Source organism: Homo sapiens, chromosome 2 (genome assembly GCF_000001405.40).
Source record: "Homo sapiens chromosome 2, GRCh38.p14 Primary Assembly".
NCBI classification, from domain to species: domain Eukaryota; kingdom Metazoa; phylum Chordata; class Mammalia; order Primates; family Hominidae; genus Homo; species Homo sapiens.
Window position 1 is genome coordinate 54,551,442 of NC_000002.12, and position 21,876 is coordinate 54,573,317.

The 21,876-nt window shown below is 43.9% G+C and overlaps 1 protein-coding gene and 1 long non-coding RNA gene across 14 annotated transcripts in view, besides 2 other annotated features; one reads left to right on the forward strand and one right to left on the reverse strand.

The window, feature by feature from the left end:
• SPTBN1-AS1 (SPTBN1 antisense RNA 1) overlaps positions 1–7,264 on the reverse strand; it is a 39,389-nt gene extending 32,125 nt beyond the window's left edge. Inside the window, exon 1 of the long non-coding RNA NR_185881.1 lies at positions 6,227–7,264. This is a non-coding gene — a long non-coding RNA (SPTBN1 antisense RNA 1). The remainder of the gene's footprint in view (positions 1–6,226) is intronic.
• Positions 1–21,876, forward strand: part of SPTBN1 (spectrin beta, non-erythrocytic 1) — a 215,120-nt gene that overhangs the window by 95,115 nt on the left and 98,129 nt on the right. For 2 of the 13 annotated variants that reach the window (XM_005264518.3, NM_178313.3), the window contains exon 1: positions 6,942–7,446. The exons of the other annotated variants lie outside the window; for them this stretch is intronic. In XM_005264518.3, coding sequence (XP_005264575.1) covers positions 7,338–7,446 — 109 coding nt within the window. In that variant the 5' untranslated portion in view covers positions 6,942–7,337. Of the gene's footprint in view, positions 1–6,941; positions 7,447–21,876 lie in introns of those variants that run through there. 13 annotated transcript variants of the gene reach the window in all.
• Positions 6,662–6,801: a silencer, noted in NCBI's record as "silent region_11487". NCBI's record gives its function as "represses an Ori minimal core promoter by ATAC-STARR-seq in GM12878 lymphoblastoid cells {active_cell/tissue: GM12878}" and the evidence as "EXISTENCE:reporter gene assay evidence [ECO:0000049][PMID:35858748]".
• Positions 8,803–8,972: an enhancer, noted in NCBI's record as "active region_15760". NCBI's record gives its function as "activates an Ori minimal core promoter by ATAC-STARR-seq in GM12878 lymphoblastoid cells {active_cell/tissue: GM12878}" and the evidence as "EXISTENCE:reporter gene assay evidence [ECO:0000049][PMID:35858748]".

Sequence of the window (21,876 nt, forward strand, 5' to 3'; positions counted from 1 at the left end):
GCAGGGAAGCTTTGCATGTGTAGATAACAGACACGGTAAGAATGCAGGGATAAGGTTTGGCTGGGGTAGAAGATTCAATAAACTACATTCATTCCCCAGGACCTTGGGTGCTTGTTTCCAGTGTAACTTGCCGTTTTTCTCCTCAGCAGTGATCTCAGGTGTTTTGTATTCAGGTCTGATATGACCAGTTAGGCAAGAAACAGGAAAAGGATATAAATGGAAACCAGCTTTGCCCTGTTATTTCAGATTCGGCTGTATACTTAGATGGTTTTATGGGTGTGGGGGGAATGGGGGGAAGGTGTAAAGAGAGGGAGAAAGAACCATCCATATCTTTCATGGAACAGAGATAATAATTCCTATGGATAGAAAAATATCTTTTGTCCTCTCTTTTTTTTTCTTGTTATTTTGAGTCCTGAACTATCAAATCTGACAGCCCCACCTCAAATAAACATTGGCTTTTCTAAAATATAGGACTTCTGTAACTTGTTTCATAGTAAGTATTGTGTTCTGGTTATCTCTGAGGTGTCACTGCTATAAAATGTGATTCTGAGTATGCCTTTCCCAGTGCATAATGGGCTGAGTTAAAGAGAAGGGAAGGGAGGGGTATCAGTACATCCCAGAGGGAGGACTGGTCCTGCCACTGAGAAATGCCCTTTGCCAAAAATCCAGAGGAGTGGTCACCCTTGTTCCCAGCCTAAGTTCTGTGATTCCACATGAAACGCAACATCGTGCAGCTGATAGCTTCCTTGGTGAAGTAAGAGATGGCCAAAAGTGGGATAGAATTAATTTTTGAAATTTCTCCTATGAGGAGATAAAGCCTAGCAATTATAGCCACGAGGACTGTACTATAATAGTATCTTTGTAGACATGTATCTCACTTAATTTATAAATTAATTGAGATAATTTATAAATTATCTCAACCTCTGTGAGGTTGGTCCCATTATTATGCCAACTTTTTAGGCACAGAGAACCAAGGTTAAAAATTGGCAGAGCCAGCTTCTTAGGTCCCAGGTCTGCTTTTTTCTTTTTTTTTTTGAGATGGAGTCTCGCTGTCACCCAGGCTGGAGTGCAGTGGCGCGATCTCAGCTCACTGCAACCTCAACCTCCCAGATTCAAGCGATTCTCCTGCCTCAGCCTCCTGAGTAGCTGGGATTACAGGCGCCCACCACCACACCTGGCTCATTTTTGTATTTTCAATAGAGACTGGGTTTCACCATGTTGGTCAGGCTGGTCTCCACCTCCTGACCTCGTGATCCACCTGCCTTGGCCTCCCAAAGTGCTGGGATTACAGGCGTGAGCCACCACACCTGGCCCCAGGTCTGCTTTTAACCACTTTTTCTCCTGTAGCTTCACATGTCCAAGCCCTGATTCAAATGCTTACATGGGCGGTACTCTGTAAGTTGAGAAGTGGTCTCACCCATGGTTTTCTAAGAGTAGTGTGAGTCGTGAGGGGAGGGGAAGTGCTCCTGACTGCTTCTAGCTGCCCAGGCCATGGGCCTTGAGTGGGAGGTGCCACTGGGGAGAAAGGAGATGTTCTAAAGAGGTGGCAGGCAGGTAGCAATGGCATAGAAATACCAGTGTCAAATGTGCTATGCCAGTAGGGCTTTTGAAAATTGTTCTTTTGGGGGGAAAAGGAGGCTTCATATAATTTCTTCTGTCTTTTCTTTTTTGCTGGATTTCATTGTGGTATGCTTGGTTAGTTGGTTGAGTTTTCTGGTTAGTGGGGAAATTTCCATTGAAAAAGGACTAGGTTTTTAACAGAGGCAGGTTTTAGGGAGAAAAGAAGGTGGCAACTAGTAGTTAGGGAGTGGGAGGCTCTTTGGGAGTTAGTGGAAAGAAAAGAATGATCTCAGTTAAGGATTCAAGAGTGGGAGAGGTGGGCAAGAGGTTCCTAGGAAGGGAGTGGGTGGGCCAGAGAGGTAAGACAGAAAGAGAACTAGAGAGATGAGATAGAAACATAATATAAACCAGTGCTTAGTGCAGCATAAATGCAGTGGCATGGTTTGGAGCCGCTTCTCTATCTGGCCACGCTAATGGAAGAGGATTATTTTAGCATTATTTTGGTTTCCTGTAAAGAAATGCTTAGGAGAAATTGGCTGTGGTCATCCAATGCCAAGGGACTTGACACCGATGAAGAATGAAAGACAGATGTGGAGATGGCAGTAGAAAGCAGCAGAGAATTTGACAAAACACAATCCTATATGAAACTTTGTTTTCTGTCCCTCCCTGTTCCCATCACTTCTTTCCCAGCTCTCGGATTGGTTTTTCAAATCCCAAGGTTGAATGTGTACAAATCCCATCACATTTTGTCATTTTGGACATCCTCTCCCAGACACACTGAGTCTTGATAGTGTCTGGATGTTCAGGAAATGAACATCTAAAGTTTACCCACTCAAGCTTGCTGTAATGCAGGAAAAGCATTCATCTTTCTTTCCCCTCAAGACTGTGTAAAGCCTCTTAGAACAAACAGAGGCTTAATCTTACCTTGCCACATGCTAAGTCATACAGAATCTTAGTGTACAGGTCCACCAAGTATGAGAAGAGGAACAAAACCAAACAAGACCTAATAAAACCCACTCAGAACCACAGAACACTTCAAGCAGCAAGCTCTAGGTGAACTAGCAGAGCATGTGCCTAATCCTGACTCAAAACTAAATGTTGTAGAGGTTCGTGTAGAGGCCTGCTTGGGTTTTAGGTTAATCTTGATACCACTTACTGAGTTCTGTGATTTTTCAGAAAAGCTTAGAAACCCATAGTAAGCTGGATATACTCTGAGCATATGGGAGAAACAGCAGAGGTGGGGAGATGGGGAGCACGCTGACTTGGTGGATCTGGGGTCCATGTGTTGGTTGTGCCACTCACCAGCTGGGGCCCTGGGCAAGGCACTGTATTTCTGTGAACCTCAGCTACCTTGGTTGCAAAATGGTGACCATACCTGCCTCACAGGGTTAGTCACTTGAGAAAATATATGTGGAAGCATTCTGTAAGCTACCAAGTGTGATGGTTCTGGTTATTACGGCCATTCAGTTTAAGTGGAGATTGATGATAACTGGGACTGCAGTTAGAAGTGGGACCTAAGCAGGGTGAACCCAAATCACTAATACATTTAATACTAAACATTCCAGAAGGAATTTTTTATGACCATAGATTCCAAACTGTTTGGTTTATAGACGAAGATTGAGAGGCCCAGAGAACATCAGAAACATGCTCAAGATTACATAGCTCCTTGGTACTCAGAAATTAGGGTAAGCCTGAGTCCCTGACTCTGGACTTGAGTCTTTCCACCAGCCCACAGCACTTTTGATCTGTTCCATCCATATCTTTGAGCCATCTTCCCACTGGCCTTTTCCTACCTATGCCAACTTAGGGCTGAAACCTGTGCACAGAGGACATACTCAGTTGGGCCCTGCCTTGGAACATCTTCCCCTGAGTCTGATAACCCTCATTCACTAGTCTCATCTTCATAGCTTCTTCTTCGTCCTCCTCCTCCTCCTTTCTCGTTATTTTCTAACTCCCTGTAACCCAGCTTTTGCTTTTATTAACCCAGTTGACCTGCTAATTGGCACACCACATGCCTTTTCTCTAAGTTTTATTTTTTAGTTTGTTTGTTTTGCAACACTTAAGACCATCTACCCTCTTTCCTCTTTGAGTCTCTCTCCTTAGATTTTCATTCTGCAACTCCCTGGCATCTCCACTGGTTTTTCTTCTTTCTCCCAAACCCAGGCCTTCCCCAGGGCTCCATGCTTAGCCCCTTGCCTCTTACTTCCTTTCCTAGATTTAACCCCACAACTATCTCAACTCCCACCTCTGCACTCAGGACTGTATCTTCAGTTTTGAGCTCTAGTTCCACATCCCTGACTGCTCCAGACATGTCACCCAGTGGTATTGCAGGTAACTCAGATTCCACCTGTCTAGAAGGAAATGTGCACTTGTCCCCTGCACCCCTCTAGCCAGATGTAAAACCCTGAGAGTCTTCTTTGTCCCTTTCCTTTGATCCTCCCACATACAGTTAGTTACCAAAGTCCTTTGGATTAATTTTTACGTCAGCCCATTCTTTTTCATTTGATTGCTCCTTTGACCTGGACTGTTGCACTAACCACCCAGTTGACCTTGCTGCCTTCATTTCCTCTCCTTTCTGCCCATTCTTACATACCACTTCCAGATTAATCATCTCTAGAGTCCAGCCCACACCCTCTACTCCCCTGGCTCAAAAGTCTCCAGTGGCTCCAGACCAGGCTTAGTTCTAACTTGCTTTTCGGGGCTTTCCTCCCAGCCTGACGGTTCCTTATCCTCCAGCCAAACTGCAGCACTTGCTGGTGCTGTTTCCTGGGCATCCATGCTTTTACTGTGCTGCTTGAGAGGAGGCTTCTCCCTTGTTCCAGCCTGTTGATGTCTACCTGTGTTTCAAGGTTTGATCAAAATGCCAGTCCCTCCTAGAGTTCTTCCCACCTACCTTTCTCCAAAAGGCAGATGTGTCCTCCTTGTCCTCTGAATTCTTAGAGCTGTCCTCCCCTGGCCCTTACTATATTCTTTTGGTACTTTACTGTTTGCACATTTGTCCCATTTCCTTTGGCTAGCAACACTCCTGGTCACTTCTGAATCTTCTAAAACACCTGGCAGTGTGCCTTGCACACATTAAATACTGTAAATACAGAACAGTAAACACTGAAGAAATAAAGAATGAATACCTCTGGCCTTCCTTTACCTCCTCCCCACTTCTGAACTGGAGGTGGTCAGATGGGCCATCAGGGATCTGTCTTATTCTTCCCTGGTCCCATCACACCAAATGGATTCCCATTTCTTACTTCTTATCCCCGTGGGGTTATTAAACCCTTCCCCAGTGTCCAAACCTTTCTAATACTTGCATGTGTTCACTCTGCCTGGTTCATTCAGTGTTGGCTTCACAGGATTGAGTGTGGCTACGTTCGTCCCAGCTCTACTGCCATCATATTATGTGCAACCTGGTTAATTAAAAATTATTTCATGTACTAACCCATACTAGAGGGAGCTGAAAGGGAGATACTGAGTGGTGACTCCCTTTCTTCATTAAGTGGCCCAATGATTAAAACGTTATAAGTTGGCAAAGCACTTTGTAATCTCATTTTCAGTGCCATAGCTGGACACTTAGAGACTTATCATTTCACCAGTATACTTAGTTGTGAAAAAGGGCTTGTTAAAAAGATCTTCATTGAGACGGTTCCCAATTCAACTTCTCTTGTAGTCTTGATGTGGTGTGTGTGTGTGTGTTTGTGTGTGTGGGCGGGGGGTGATGAAAGGAGGGGTGCATTTTGAAGAATATACTCTTAATTTTGAAAGTATGATAATTTTTAGAACATTTCCACATCATCTCCTCAGTGACCCTGTGGAGGTGGGCATTAATTATTACTCAGTCTGACAGCTGAGGTTTAGAAAGAATCCAGGGTTTCTTCTAAGGTCATAGGGTAATTAAGAGGCTTGGCCAGGACTAGCAACTCAGGTCTTGGGAATCCTAGTCAAGTGCTTTTTCCAAGACCAAGTGTTTTGTAATGCTCTGCCTAGCCTCCCATCAGCATTGTGAATTGGCAGCACTTAGGGGCTTTAAAAAATGTTCTACATCTTAGATGATAAGAAATGTTGTCTTCTTCAGGTTGGGCCTGGCTTTCAAAAGCCAAAGGTTGACATGTGGAAGTATTAAAAACCTAGTTATGTGGCTGGAAGGAGTTGGGGGTTGTTCAGCGTTGAGCAGTTAGCTAGGCTCTGGGTTTAATTCTAAGCCTGGACAGGATGCAGTTACTTCAATTACAAGTGCCCTGGGGACTGAGGTGAACCTGGGGTGGGGGACCACGTCTTTACTACATATTGGGATCCCTGAGGAATGAAATTACCTTCTTCAGTGAGTATTGCTGTAGGGCTCCAAACTGGAAATGCCAAAAGTGTAATTTGTTGTCTGCCTGTTTAGGTAGTGAGGAAAAAGGGGGGACAGGAGGGTGGAGAGAGAGGGGGGAGATCTAGAGTCAATTTCCCAAGAATACATTTTGATCATTCTCTTTTCTATGTGGAAGATTTCATTTTTGGTTGAGATTGGTGGGAGAAGAAGCTGGGAAGGAGAGATTTAAAATTTTGGAGAACCACAAGTTTAGAGGCCTTGTTTTACAAATCAGAGTAGGAATTTGAGGGTAGTTTCGGTTCCCTCATCTCCCCTCCGGATCATAAACAACTCCAGGTCAGGGATCTCGGCGGTGTTTACCTGTGTACCTTTTTCCCACAATGCCTTGCAAATCGGTGCTCCCATAAATCTTCCTTGCGTCGAATTCCTATCATAGGCCCGTGTTATTCCAGGAAACCACCGCCTTCATATCCCCTGATGGCAGCGTAAGTCAGCCGAGATTCTTCACTGAGCCCGAACTTACACCTCCCCTGGCTGTGGCGCTGCACAGCGCCCTGAGAGTGACTTTGTCTGACTTCTTCCCGGTGGCTCGCCGGGCCGCCGCCGCGTGGTTGGCGCCAGCGCACTGGGGCAGTCGCGCGCGCCCAGGTGCGGGCCGCGTTACCTCAGCAGACGCTAGAGAGTGAATGAGCCGCGCGGGCCCGGGACCCTTGGGGCTCTTCACTCTCCAGGCCGTCCCGTGGGCGCGCTAGCCTTTTCAAGTGATAGTAATCGGAGACTTTTCCGTTACATGAGGCTCAACAAAAGATTGTAATTCCAGCAGCTCTGTTTGGGAAGGCACTACCGCGGCGAGTCCAGGGCCCGGCCGGGGGTCGGCGGCTGCCGGGCGGCTGGGGCGACCGCGGACCGTGCGGGACCGGTAGGGGGTCGCGGGCCGGCTAGGCTCCCCCGCGCCCCTCCTCGTGGTATAGCCTGCATTTCTAATACAATGCTGTTATGCTAATCAGGTGACATCACCGCCCAGCACACGGCGAGTGGCTCCTGATAAAATTACAAACCGGCGGCCGCCGCGGGCAGCTGGGAGGAGGTGTGCGCGCTGCGCCCGCGAGCTCCCGGGCTCGGCAACCGTGGCATGCTTAGGATTGGCCATATTTAAAAGTTCTGAAGTAGAACCTGCGCCTCCTCTCTGCTTCTCCCTCCTCCTCAGTAATTTATTTCGAGCTTCCAGGCAAGGGCCACGGAAGAAGGGAAAGCAAGAAATTAGATGCCTGTGTGGTAACTCCTCGCGGAGCTAAGGTGGACTCTCTTGCAGCCAACTTCCCATCAGATCACCCTGCTGGACTTGCAGACCGGAATGGGGCTCGCCTAAGGAGCCGAGCGCTGCGGAGGCTGCTGCGTGTTGGATGGGAGTGGGAGGGGGCTGGAGCGAGATTTCCAGGGCGCAGTCCTCCGGGGCGTTACGCCGGGCATAATGGAATTGCAGAGGACGTCTAGTATCTCCGGGCCGCTGTCGCCGGCGTACACGGGGCAGGTGCCTTACAACTACAACCAGCTGGAAGGCAGATTCAAGCAGCTGCAAGGTAAGCCCCCTCCCAAAGGCCGGGCCTGTCCTGGGTGCCAACGGGGGTTCTTGGAGGCTTTATTTGTGACCCTAATGAAGACGGGCGGCTTCACAGCTCGGCCCCAGACCCTGTGGTTGGCTGCGGGCACCCCATTCACGACTTAGGGAAGGCAGTTGCTCATACTCCACTCCAGAAGAGCTACCATTTGGAGTCCCTGTCTCTCCAGCACCTTTTTGGCTTTCTAGGTTGTCAGATAACTGCTGCACACACATTTTCTTTACTTTTAGCTAACTTTACCTCCTAGTAGATCAGTGCTCATAGACTTATTAGTATGCAGGTATTTGATTCCGGGTCGCCTCTGGCTCCCAGCCCCCAGCCTCTTACCTCTGGGAAGCTTTAAAGGTGTAAAGTGCCGTGCTCAGACCCAGTCCTGTAGAACAATAGCAAAGGGGAGGAGGGAGGGGTCTTTTTGTTCCTAAGCCTTTGGTAAATTACAGTTTTTTATTCAGAAGCTTAATTTTAATTTTTCTGATGTGTTGGGAAGAGCCTTCCCATCTATTTAGTGGGCTATATAATTTCTAATGAAAGCCGGTTATTGTCATTTCAACCCTATGGGTTGGATTAGTTGGATCAATTACAGGTTTCTTGGAGTCTTTTTAAGGCTCAGACAATTGAATGAGTCCAATATTTTACTGAACATATTTTTAGGGAGAGCAGAAGCCTGTGTGTGCACCAGTGTGCTGTTTTCCCTGCGGCCCCTGCACCCCTCAGCTGTCCCTGCCCAGCCAGCAGGCCCTGGCCAGCAGTGTCTCAGAGCTTATACATGAAAAAAGGTTCCTAACTGAAAACAGAACTCCTTCCGTTTGGAAGCCCCTGGAGTCAGTAGTAGGCTGGGAATGGCTCTAGCACTGTAAAAAAGTAGTATTCGAGGACTGTGTGTTTCTTATTTTAACCTCCTCAGTGCTGCAAATGTGGTTCCTGTGAGGAGGAGGAAGGAAGGAAGCCGCTCAGCCCTAGAATGTTTTTCATTGGGAAGAGGGGGGAGGATGTCTTTCATTCATTGGTTTATTTGTCTTGTGAAATAGTTGACAGTAATGACACTTCTCTGGAAAACGAGGCAGAACAGGACGTGATTTTAAACATTTGCTGGGCTGTGCCACATTCCTCTGGCAGTTAGCTCAGAGGAAGCTCCCTTCGCTCTGGGGAACGGTTCTGTGTCTCTTTGGTTCATTTCTCTTGAGCTCTTCGGCAGTCAAATTTGCTTTTTTGAAAACTTAAGCTGGGGGCGCTTGCAAGTAGTAAATAGAGGAGTTGGGGTGGGGGGGGGCGTTCATTATCTAGGTTTGTTAGGGGCCTCACGGTTTTCGGGTCGGAGAATCCACTGCGTGCTCCTCCTCTTCCCCTGGCCCGGACTCCCAGCTTCATTGTGTCATCCCGCCTGGGGGAAAGCACCCACCGGGATCGTCAGCCCACTCCACCGCCAGCCTAGCCTGGAAGTCTCAGAAAAAAAGCAAAACTGGGAGAAAATAGAAGGTGTGAGGGAGGAGTGCACCCCTAGGCCCACCCATAACAAAAGGCTGTTATTCCGAAAGGGCTGAGGAAGGTTTTAAAACTGCTCGCCGAGAAGGGTGGAGCCTACACACAGGAAATGTCTTAACTGTCCTCTCTGGACAACGTAAAGTTTAAATTTAAAAAAAATCATGTGCCCCTGATATTTTACCTCATACGCTGTTTCTCAAGGAAATCCCTTCGAAAGGGGTAAGCTTCGTGTTTTGTGTGGTAGCTTTAAAAATAATTTTTTTTAGTGTGACCCTTGTCTCCTAATTTAGCCCCAGTGACTTTCTTATTTTTAAATATTGTGGTTTAGGAGTTGCACAAGTTTAGTGTTGGTATTTCTGTAGCAGAAAACCACCCATGTTGAGGAATTGAGAAAGGGTGAATTAACTTTCAAGTATGGTGGACCTCAGGAGAATTACACACATTTGTCAGCATCCTTCAGAACAAATGAACCGATTGCATTTTAAACAATCCTAGGAGAATTTTGATTAAACACACACACACAAAACCTTTCTTTAATTCCCATCCCTGGTTTTGTGTTTTGTTTGGTATTTGTAGTTCTGATTATCACATATTTTTGATAACATATAATTTCTATCTGCTGATTTAATTTTGTACATTCCTGCAAGGGTGCCTTTTTTTACTCTTCTGAGTATAATCTTTCCTAGCACATAATCTCTGAATATTGGCAAAATGCTCCTCTGAAACTGTATTGGGTTTTTTGTTTTCGTTTTAAGAGACAGAGTCTCACGCTGTTGCCCAGGCTCTAGTGCAGTGGCACAATCACGACTCAACAGCAGCCTTGAAGTCCTGGCTCAAGCCATCCTCCCACCTCAGCCTCCCAAGTAGCTGGGACTATACCATGTCTGGCTAATTTTTAAATTTTTTGTAGAGACAGAGTCTCACCATGTTGCTCAGGCTGGTGTTGAACTCCTGGCCTCAAATGATCCTCCCGCCTTCACTTCCCAAAGTGTTGGGATCACAGATGTGAGCTACCTTGCCAGTCCTGTACTGGGTTTAATGCCTCTGATATGAACTTATTTATGTATTGTCTGTGCCTGATAGTGCTATGATTTTTCTGGAGTTGTTTCTGCATTTTGGCTGGTTTCAAGTTACTTTCCACACTGGGTCCTAAAAATTTCAGGAGGTGTGCCATAGAATGAGATTTGGAGTTCTGGCTAAGGAGAATATAATTTTAAAATGAGTCTGGTCTATTTAGATAAAATGGTTTATAGCGATTTATAGTTTATAAATTTATAGAGATATTATAAATTTATAGTTTAAATATAGTTATATATAAATATAAATCGAGTTATATATTTATATATAAATATAGTTATATATAGTTTAAAATAAAAATAAGGATAGTCATAAATATATAGTTTATAGAGATTTATGGTTTGTAGAGATTTATAGTTTGTAGAGATTTGTGGGTCAGTAAATAAGTGTGATTAAAAAAAAAACCTCATTGAGATACAAGAGTGATGGCTTTATCACACGAAGCCTCCTGGCATAAGAAGACAAGCCCTTCAACCTCTGATGGCTGTAGCATTCACCACCAACACCCAACACCCAACACACACACACCCACCCCTTCCTCTTTTTCTTTTTCAGATTTTCACCTGCAAAATTAAGTTATCACTTTCCTCAGAATCAGTTCATGTATCGTATAAAGTTGTATTTGATGTTTTTTTCTCTGTTAAATAAAAGAGGAATGTTGAAATACAGCAAAACCCAACCTCCCATATTTAGAGAACTGTGTAGTAACAGAGGTGCAGGTTCATGATAACCATCTCTCCACTTCACATCAGCCAGCTTAACTCCTCATGAGAGAACACTCATCATGCCACTTTCCCCCTCAGAAACAGTTGCTTGTGCCATTGTGTAAATGAAGTTCCAGAGTCTAGCTTGGCCTTCAAAGATTCTCCGTAAAATGGCCCCACTCCACTTACTTCTTATTCTAATATATTCCATTCAAATCTGGTAGGCAGGCCTACAGCTTTTTATAAAACCCATCCCTGGGTTTCACGCTTATCTTCTACATTTTGCCTCAAATGCCTACTCTTCCATTTCATCTATAGAAATGCTTACTTTTCTTTTCTTTTTCTTTTTTTTTTTTGAGGCAAGGTCTGCTTCTGTTGCTCAGGCTGGAGTGCAGTGGTGTGATGATCTTGGCTCACTGCAACCTCTGCCTCCCAGGCTCAAGTGATTCTCCCACCTCAGTCTCCCCAGTAGCTGGGACTACAGGCACTTGCCACCAAACCCTGCTTTGTGTGTGTGTGTGTGTGTGTGTGTGTGTGTGTGTGTGTTTTGTAGAGACAGGGTTTCACCATGTTGCCCAAACTGGTCTTGAACTCATGAGCTCAAGTGATTGGTCTGCCTCGGCCTCCCAAAATGCTGGGATCACAGGTGTGAGCCACTGCACCCGGCCTAGAAATGCTTACCATTTTTAAATACTATGCCTGCATTCCAATTATTCCATAAAGTTTCTTCTTTCTTGTCAGGGTTACTGGGAAAAACGATTTTGTTGAGTGCTTACCATGTACCAGTCAGAGCTTTCTATATGGAATTTTGTCTGGTCTTTATAACATACCTGTGAAGTTTTAGAGGTGATAAGATAGAGGCAAATAACTCATCCAAGTTCACAGGCATTGTTGAGTTTAGGCTGCACGGTGTTCTGTAACTTTCTCCTTTCAGACTTCTAGATGTTCATATTTATATATATATTTTCTTTTAAATGAAAGAATGACAGTGTGAAATGCCCACCCTAACCTGGTTCCCTCTCCTGCCAACCTGCCCCTGGAGAACTGATTCTATTGGCTCTGGCTGTGAAGTTGTAATGTAGACAGGATCTAGTTAAAAAGCATCAAAATGAAGTTTTTCTGTCTGCTTTGCAGCCAGATGCTGACACTCCGCATCTGATCTTTCTGGAGAAGGTGCATTCTCTAGCTATTCTGGCTCAGTGCGTTTGCACCAGGAGAGGTATGAAGTGCTCTGTCTTCCTTGGGACATAGAGATTAAAGAATTTCAGGTCATGAAATGCATTACTACCAAGTTTATTACGTATTGAGAGTTGTCTTGTTGAATTTCTTAATTTTTTAAATTTCTTAACTCTTAGAAAGTGAAGTGCTGATTTTATACCTCTGAATCATGAAGAAAATTTATTCTTTTTTTTTTTTTTTTTTTTTTTTTTTTGAGACGGGGTCTCACCCTGTCGCTCAGGCTGGAGTGCAGTGGCGCGATCTCGGCTCACTGCAACCTCTGCCTTCCGGGTTCAAGCGATTCTCCTGCCTCAGTCTCCTGAGTAGCTGGGATTACAGCCACCTGCCACCACGCCCGGCTAATTTTTGCATTTTTAGTAGAGATGGGGTTTCGCCATATTGGCCAGGCTGGTCTCGAACTCCTGACCTTGTGATCTGCCTGCCTTGGCCTCCCCAAGTGCTGACCACACCCGGCAAGGGTAGCTATTCTCGAACTTTTTGTAGATAAAGAAATAGATCGTTGGATTATTATCCATCTGTATGAGGCTAGCTTTCCAGAATTCAGGTTTTCTGACTCCAAATTTGATGCTCTTCCCGTAGTACCACAAAGTGTGGGTTAGATGTGGATCATGGCGCCCAAATAACTTGAATACATACTGCTGGCATGGAAGATTAATGTGTTAAGGGAGCTGCCCAGATTTCTGGACATGGGCTGCTCTCGGTTTTTGTTGCATTAAGAATATTGACAGTCAAGGGAATACCAACTTTTTCTTAAATCTAATATTTTACTAGGAAGAACATTAAAAGGATTCTTGGAGGCTAGTTATATAGAAGAGGAAGGTGATAGATAACTCCTTTTGAGGAAAAGATAGCACTTTTCTTAGGAGAGTCAGCCTAAAATCTCCCTGGCTGCTGAGAAAGCTTTCTGGATGATGGTTCCATGTCATCACCTCTCCTCACTCCTCATTCTTGGAAAAAGGGGTCTGCACAGCCTCACTGCTGCTTCGTCTGCTTTAGTCTCTTTTCATGGCTTCCTAAAGTGTCCCCATGCAGTTATCCCAGTCTCCCCACAGCAGGGCCCTGAGAAGAGTGCTCCGTGCAAACATGTCTGGGATTCATCTTTGCTGGGATTTGACTCCAGTCCCAGCTGCAGCTGCTGCCACACCTGTACCCCACAGAAGTTGTGATTCCTTAAACCTGCCCTGCATTTTGGCACCCTTGACACCCTGCCCTCTTGGTTTCTTCTGCAGGGAATCATTTCATGTGTCAGGATCAGTCTTTTGAGGTTCAGTTCAGATGCCACTTATTCTAGGCATTCCAGGAGGTTGGGGAGGTCAACATCCCTGCTTGGACTCCCTTCCTTTTAAGATTTGAAGTTTCAGCGCTTGATCATTCACCTGTGATTTTTCATTACTGCCTTTTGTTACAGTTCCAGTCTTTGTCTTTTTGTTTTCCCTGTATTTCGTGAAGTCTGGGAGCCTGAAGACCAAAGTCTGAATAGTCTGTCTTACACATACAAGCCGCTAAATATTTGCTAAAGAGCAAAATTAATGAAGTCAGTGTTATAGACTCCCTTATTGCTGTGGTTCCCAAATTGAGGTTCTCAAAATGAGGTCCCCAGGTCAGCATCAGCATCATCTGGGAATTGGCTAGAAATGTAAAATCTCAGATCTCCACTTCTCACCTACTGAATAAGAAATTCTAGGGTGGGTCCTACCAATAAGTGTTTCCAGCTACTCTGCCAGGTGGTTCTGGTGCACACTAAAATTTGAGAAATAGTCCCTTATTGGATCATTTGTACAATCTTTGCAAAATTTTGTGGTGGGGATGGAGAAGCAGACTCTTTAAGTTGCTCCCAAACAGGAGCAGGTATTATACCTGATTTCTTATAGAAGAATGAAGAGTTGGGGGAAAATATGTTTTTTAGAACAAAATTGTGAAACAGTGGGAAAAACATTAGCTACTCAGGAATGGACTCTGTCCTGCTTAAATTAGAGAAGCCGTTGAACATCTGTCTCAGCCACCTCTTCTGCCTCAGATGACCCTCAGGTGGGGTCAGTTACCTGCCTCAGTTCTCCCACAGTTGGCTCAAGAGCCACTATAGAAAGAGATATAAGTTTAGAAAAAATAGAGATAAACCTAATAGTGTGTGTAGGCTCTAAGGATAGTTCAGCAAGGCATCAAGGTTAGTTTCACTTATATTCTTAATAAATAATCTATTGAATTTAACCTTAAAAAACAAAAATCCCAGCAACTTGGCATCTGTAAGGGAGACAGATCAATATCTAGGCTGCTTTCCTTATTTGAATAACTGCCAGGTCTGCTTCACAAGATTGTGTTGACCAGCAAATGATATGATCTATATGAAGTTTCCCTGGAAACATCCATGTACTATTAAAATGTGAAGGATGGCTGTTGTTTCCATGACTGTATTCCTTTTAAAGAAAACTTCTACATATAAATGAACACTGACAATTCCAGTATTGTTGATTACTAGTAAATATAGTACAGCAATTCAAGTAAGGACTTCAGGGTTTGTTTTTTCTTTTAACCTTCTGGAAAATAATGTGGACAGTGACAGAGCATTAAGTTTTTAGTTAATGATAGCTCCACCTCTTGTGCACATAATCAAAACAGACCAGGTGGGGTTTAGCCACTTGTAGATCCTAGTGCCTTTTCTCTCTTGACAACTTTCTATCAACTCTGAAACCCAGCTATGAAAAACAAATGAAAGGGGGAAATAAAGGATAAGGGCATTGTAAGCATTTTTCTTTTTTCTTTTTTTTTTTTTTTTTTGTTGAGATGGAGTGTCACTGTGTCGCCCAGGCTGGAGTGCAGTGGCATGATCTCAGCTCACCGCAACGTCCGCCTCCGGGTTCAAGCAATTCTCTTGCCTCAGCCTCCCGAGTAGCTGGGATTATAGGCGCCCACCACCACGCCCAGCTAATTTGTGTATTTTCTGTAGAGATGGGGTTTCGCCATGTTGGCCAGGCTGATCTCCAACTCCTGACCTCAGGTGATCCACCCCCCTTGGCCTCCCAAAGTCCTGGAATTATAAGCGTGAGCCACTGCGCCTGGCCCCTGTAAGCATGTTTTTCAAATGTTTAATATTCTCTGCTGCATTGACTTAAAAGTTTGACAGGCCAAGCTCAGTGTCTCATGTCTGTAATACCAGCTCTTTGGGAGGTCGAGGCAGGCAGATCACCTGAGGTCAGGAGTTCGAGACCAGCCTGGTCAACGTGGTGAAACCCTGTCTCTAATAAAAATACAAAAATTACCTGGGCATGGTGGTACACGCCTGTAGTCCCAGCTACTCGGGAGGCTGAGGCATGAGAATTGCTTGAACCTGGGAGGCAGAGGTTGCAGTGAGCCAAGATTGCGCCACTGCACTCCAGCCTGGGCGTCAGAGTGAGACTCCATCTCAAAAAAAAAAAGTTTGATGATTGTTAAATCATTTTGTTGGTGCAGAGAACCTGCCATTTAAAATGGCAGTTGTTGGCACTAACTTAGACTACTTTAAAAGCAGGAAGGATCCTAGGAAATAAAACACTAAAATAAAACTTTAAAAAATACAGGGCTTGCTCTTTTGGTATTCTACTTACTTATTAACAAATATTTATTGATTACCTGCTTTCCAGTGAGCAGCTGTCGTCTGGTTAAAAAGTGCATGGGTGTGTTTCAGCTGTGCTGGGAATGCTGGCTAAGCCAACTGATTAATAGAAGCAAGTGGAGAAATAAACTTGATCTAGGTAAGAGGTGAGGAACTGAGGTAGGGGAATCTGTGCAGGTTCAGGGTTACTGGACCTTAAAGTACAGAGTGAGGATGGGGTGGTAGGAAGGATTCTAGAAGGATAATAAAGGATGCAAGGCCCTGTTAGGTAAAGGAGTTTGGACGTAAGGCAGTGGGAAGGTACTGGAGGATTTTTATTTTATTTATTTATTTATTTATTTTTGGAAACAGGGTCTCTGTCACACAGGCTGGAGTGCAGTGGCACAATCTTGGCTCACTGCAACCCTCTACCTCTTGGGCTCAAGCCATCCTTCCACCTCAGCCTCCCAAGTAGCTGGGACTACAGGCATGCACCACCCACCATGCCCAGCAATACTGGAGGATTTTAAATAGGAGAGGATTTTAAATCTGGATTTTTAATTTAATTTTATTATTTTTATTTGTATATATTCACGGATTGCAAGTGCAATTTGCTACATTCATGTATTGCATTGTGGTGAAGTCAAGGCCTTGAGTGTATCTATTACTGGAGCAATGCACATGATACCCACCAGGCAGCCTCTCATCCACTTCTTAAATATAAATATACCTATTTACATTTATATATAAATTTCTTAACTCTGGTCACTGAGGCATGCTTTATTCTCTCTCTATATATATAGAAAGGCTAGTCTGACTGCTGGTATGATGATCGTTTTGGAGGGTGCTGGTCAAGGAAGGAGACAGAAGACCAGTGTTTTATTTGCTGGAGTGAGAAACTTAGAAACGACATAACCTCCTAGAATTTTGAAAGTGAAATAGGGGACTTAGAACCTTGTTATTCAGTATAGATAGATGACTTGGGGTTTGTTGGAAATACAGCATCTCAGGCCGACCTCCCCACAGACCTCCTAAGTCAGAATCTCGTCTTTTAAAAATCCCCAAGTGCTTTGTATGCCTGTTCAAGTTTAAGAAGCACTGCTGGCAGTGCGTGGTGGCTCACGCCTTAATCCCAGCACTTTGGGAGGCTGAGGCGGGCGGATCACCAGAGGTCGGGAGTTCGAGACCAGCCTGGCCAAGATGGTGAAACTCCGTCTCTACTAAAAATACAAAAATCAGCCGGTTGTGGTGGCGCACATGTGTAATCCCAGCTACTCTGGGAGGCAGAAGTTGCAGTGAGTCGAGATTGCACCACTGCATTCCAGCCTGGGCAACAGAGTAAGACTCTGTCTCAAAAAAAAAAAAAAAAAAAAAAAGAAGAAGAAGCACTGCCTTGGAAGTAATGGTGTCTGCCTTCTAACTCCTATGAACAGACAAGGAAATAGTTTCATTAAATGGAGGAGTTTTTGGTTTTTTTGAATAAACTGGATTATTTTAACTAAATATAAAAATAATCTTGAGTATAATAGTTAATTAAAGGAAGTTTAGTATTGCTCTAGAAGATTACAGGGCTTTAAAACATAGTTAACTAATTCTGAGCTTTAGAAGTAAGTCTTTTATAGAATTTGGCTGGGATTTTCCTATTTGCTAGTCCTGCAGTTCTAGAAATTTGTGAGGTAAAAAAACAGTTTCTTTTCATATTTACCCATTGATATTAATGGAGAATCACAAAAATACCCTGGGTCAGTTTCTCTAAATTATTCCAGAATTTCAGCATGATGTCCTGGGAAGTAGAAATTTATGAGTCCATACCTGTTTTATGACTTAAACCTTTTAAATACTTTAAAACTATTTTTTTCAGAAACAAAGCACAAATACTCTTCTTCAGCCACACTTCATCTTAGTAGAATGATCCTATATTAAATGAACGTTCCTGTTCTTGCAGTTGGTTAGACTTCAGTCTAGTTTCATGCACATCAAACTTACCTAGTGGTGCCTTCAGGTTTTAGCGCTAATAGTGGATTTGAAGTATGTGAAATATCTGTTACATGGTAAGTGCTCATTTCCTCTGAGTTTGTAGGTGAAACTTTAAAATTACTGGTTATTGATTGGGTAGGGGAGAAAAAACACCTGCTGAAACTTGTTGGCCGGAAGTTTTTACCCCTGGGAAGAAGAAAGGAACGGGGTGGGGGAGATAAGGGAATTCAGTTCTTGGCTGGCAACACTCCAGAACCGTCCTGATGGAAGGGTTGTGGCCAGTTGAAAGCAGCAGTACTGGAGAGGGGACTGGGGGTTGTTCTTTCAAAGGCAGGGTTGAAGGTTATTAATGGACTAAGTTAAATTTCTAGCTGTTCCTTCCTGTTACTCTAGATACTTTTTATATATTTATTATGTCACAGCAGTATTGACGCCCTGAAAAGAAAGAAAAGTGAAAGAATAGTTCACGTAAGATCCCACAAGTCCTACAAATTTTAACTTTCCAATAGTTAATATATATAAGCACACACATATACACACACGTGCAGTTTAGAAGTGTTAATATAGACGAGTTTTGTCTTGGCTTTTTATTTTTTACTTAACATCATCTTAAGCTTTTCATATGTGGTTATTTCTGTGCCTCTTACCAAATATTGGCAATTCACTTTCCAAATCAGACAATTACTTACCAGTCTGAGAGCCTGCTTCTCATCTATGGGATGAAGGTCATACAAATTCTGTGTAATGAGATTGTTGTAAGAATTAGGTGAGATTCTGTGTGGAAACTGTGTTTGGCACAGTCCCTGGTACATAATAAGGGCTCATAGGATTATTACAGATCCTAGTTAAATGGCAAGGCAGGGCCCAGCAGGGTGAGCCTTGTAAACTTGAGTGCCTCAACTCCCACCCCCACCCCCAAACCTGTTCTGGGTGTGGTTTCCTTTAGCATGTTGGGAGAGTGTTTAGTTTGCCTGAAAATGCACCCAACTGAAACCATTCCCCCCCCCCTTTAGAAAGATTAGAAGGTTCAGTCACTTGGGCCTGGTGACTTTTGATGTAGTTTGAAGGTCACAATGCTGGTTCCTCTCTCAAGTTCATAAAAGCCTCTGGAGCAGCTATTGCTGCAGCCAGCGAGCATCCAGCACTTGGTCAGAGAGCCGCCTTTGTCAGAGAGCGCTCCTGTAGCCAGACTCATATTAACTGCCCCCCATGGGTGTGTTGAATGCCTCTACTGTGTTTGCCTTTGAAAGGCCCTTCTTAGCCTTTCTCTCTCCCCCAACCCCATTTTCAAGAGGCACAAGACCTTTAAGTAGCAAATACAGTAATCACAGTAGCATGGAGACACAGGCTGGCCTATATTTGGTTTCACAAAGGCCTTGTGAAAGATCTGGCCTTAAAGTCCCTTTTTAATGCTGAAATTATGCAAGTGGAAAGTTAATTTGAGGATCACTGAGGCACGCTTTATTCATGAAGAATGTGAGCAAAACATAAATACAAAGTCTGGAGGCTCTGTTCTACGCTGGTGGCAAGGAAATTACATAGGTGGTATCTTTATTTGGCTGAATCCCCCTCCCTCCACCAAGAGTGCAACTGTGATAGAATTTTGGAGTGAGAGCTATTGTTTTAAGCACTGACTGGTTGCAGGTGTGTGTGTGCATGTTGCCTGAAACTCTCTACAAACCATAGACATGATTTTGGTGGAATTGGCGTGCCAACAGTGGTTACAGCTAAGATTGTAGAAGACCAAACATTCTGTTGGAATGTGACCTTAACATTTTGAATTATGTTTCTTAAGTAAGATAAATTTCGAAGGTCTATTTTATTTTTATCTTTATTCTTTGAAGGCCTGCTTTAAAGTTTACCGTGTCTTTGAAAGTCTAGTCTGTTGAACTCTTAAATCCCAGTGAGTTCCTATAGATTGCTAGCTTGAGTGTATAGTATTTGAGATGTGAATAAAGTCTAGTGCAAAGTGTGTTTCTTGTGCTTGAAAATGGTGCCCTGATTTCTGTTGAGGGAGACGTTTATTCCTATAAAGGTTTAAACGACTTGCTGTACAATTCAGTCTTGCAATGACAGAGAGATTACACACTATCTGCAAACAACTGCCAAGCAGATGAAATCCTGGCTGTGGGAAGTCTGCGGTGAAGAGTGGTGGGGGTGGTCAGGAGAGCAGTGGAAGGGAAGTGGCTCAGAACATTGTAGTGGTGGTTTGGCGTGCCTGTCAAGGGCTGTGGGACGTTTTCTCTCTCATTTCAGAAACAAGGGTGGTGGGAAACACATGGGCCGTGGATTTGCATAAACCAACAGTCAAATCCTAGCTCTACCAGTGACTTCACTGAGCCTCATTTTCTTCAGGGGGAAAGAATAAATAGCCCTTGGGGTGATTGTAAAGCCTAATTAGGTATGTTATAATTGTATTAAGAGGATGACGAGTTCACCGTTTGCCAGGGAGTTTTCCGGTTTTAGTGCCAAACATTCCACATCCGGGGAATCTTCCTCAGTCCCAGGCACACTGGGTGGTGAGTCCCCCAGTTATATATGAAGATACCTATTACTGTTCCCTAATTGTATGTACACACACACACACACACACACACACACATACACACACACACACACACACACACATATCTATAAATAAAGGGCTTCTGGAAGCTGGCTGCCTATTACTGTGTACCTGATACTCAGTGGGTATTTGTGAACTCCCAGGAGGATAGTGTGTTAGTGTGTTTGCGTGTATCTCTGTATTCCTTCTTAGGGATGGCATACAAATAAATGTTTCATGAATAAAGGGATGAATGAGTAGGTAAAGTAATATAAGCAGTAATGCATATGTTTTAAAGTGATTTAGCTGGTTTTCCTTCCAGGGGCCTCTTCCCTGAGAAAAGAGCCACTTAATAAATGATGTCTTGAATGAAAGAATACATCATGAAAATAATTTTGTCCATGATGTGGCTAAACTAAAACTCCAGGAAGGGCTTAGGCTGGGCCTATCTACTTTTTTTGATAAAATGAAGTTTAATATGACCCTAGTGACAACCTCCCCTCATCCCCTTAAAGCTCAAATTTAGGGAACTCTTGTGGTTGGACTCTCACATACTCCCTAGGACTCTGCTGGGTGCTGGGGAATTTACTAAACTTTGGTGAGGAGAAGAGGAGAGGAGAGGGAAGCCACGGTACTAAGGTACTTAGGGAGACAGAAACAGTTCCCCTAGAAATTAGACATCACATTGTCTTTTTCCCCCCTTTCTTTTGAATGAGATGGGGCAAGAATATTTGGACCAGGATAAAGTTTTAAGATGCATTTACACTAATGTAATCAGGTTACATAGCAAAAAAATGTTAAAAATGTACCCTGGGAAATTGAAATCTATCCATTCTTCTAGGTGTGGCAGCTTATTCAGATTTTTATGTTGTGTGACCATAAAACGAACACAGCTTTTCTAACCGCGAGTGTCTTTGTTTACAGAGATAACAGTGTGAGTAATGCTTTGCTAGAAGCCAGGCAGTTAAATCACACTCTGAGCAAATAGAGGCTGGGCTTCAGAAACTTAGATAGCACACGAATGTGCAAACTTGGTCTTTTAAACTGAAGACATATCTGAAAGAAAACTGCTTTTGGCCCATGAACTACTTTCCCAGCCCTTTGTGCCTCCCAATCTCTGCCCCCCTTTACAAAAAATCTTTGTTTTTCCTCTACAAATATACATATATGATTTCAATTTGGAGGTGGGATGTTATTTTTTTCACTTGAAACACAAGGAAGCAATTTTTAAAAGTCATACTCGTTCAGCAGTGGGCTTGACTGTAGCCAGTTTGACTAGGAGTTCTTGGCTACAGAACCATACACTTGCAGTCTTTATCAGGGTAGTAAATTCAGATGGGTTTTTGGAAAGGGAGAGGGCTGGAGTTGAGGGAAGGGCACTAGAGCAGTGTGACCCACGGCCCAGGAGCAGTGTGAGTGGGAAGGGGCTCTAGAAGCTGACTGCCTTTGTGTTTGCCACAGCGTGCTGGGAATCAGATGAGAAGGCGGGCCCAGACCCCACCAGATACTCATCTCAGCCATTGTTGTCATTAAATGACTCTGAAATGACCTTTCTTACCTCAGTTTCCTGTGAGCTCATAGTTGTCTGCAGATGTGAATTATGTCATTGATCTTTGCTCCCTCTTTGCTTATAAGGAGTAGCTGTTCTGCTCCATGTTTCTGGAAGAGGAAAGTGATGCACAGGTCACTTAGTAAAGCGGTCCCCAGCCTTTTTGGCACCAGGGACTGGTTTTGTAGAAGACAATTTTTCCACAGATAGGGTGGAGGAAATGGGGAGTTGGTTTCGTGATGAAACTCTT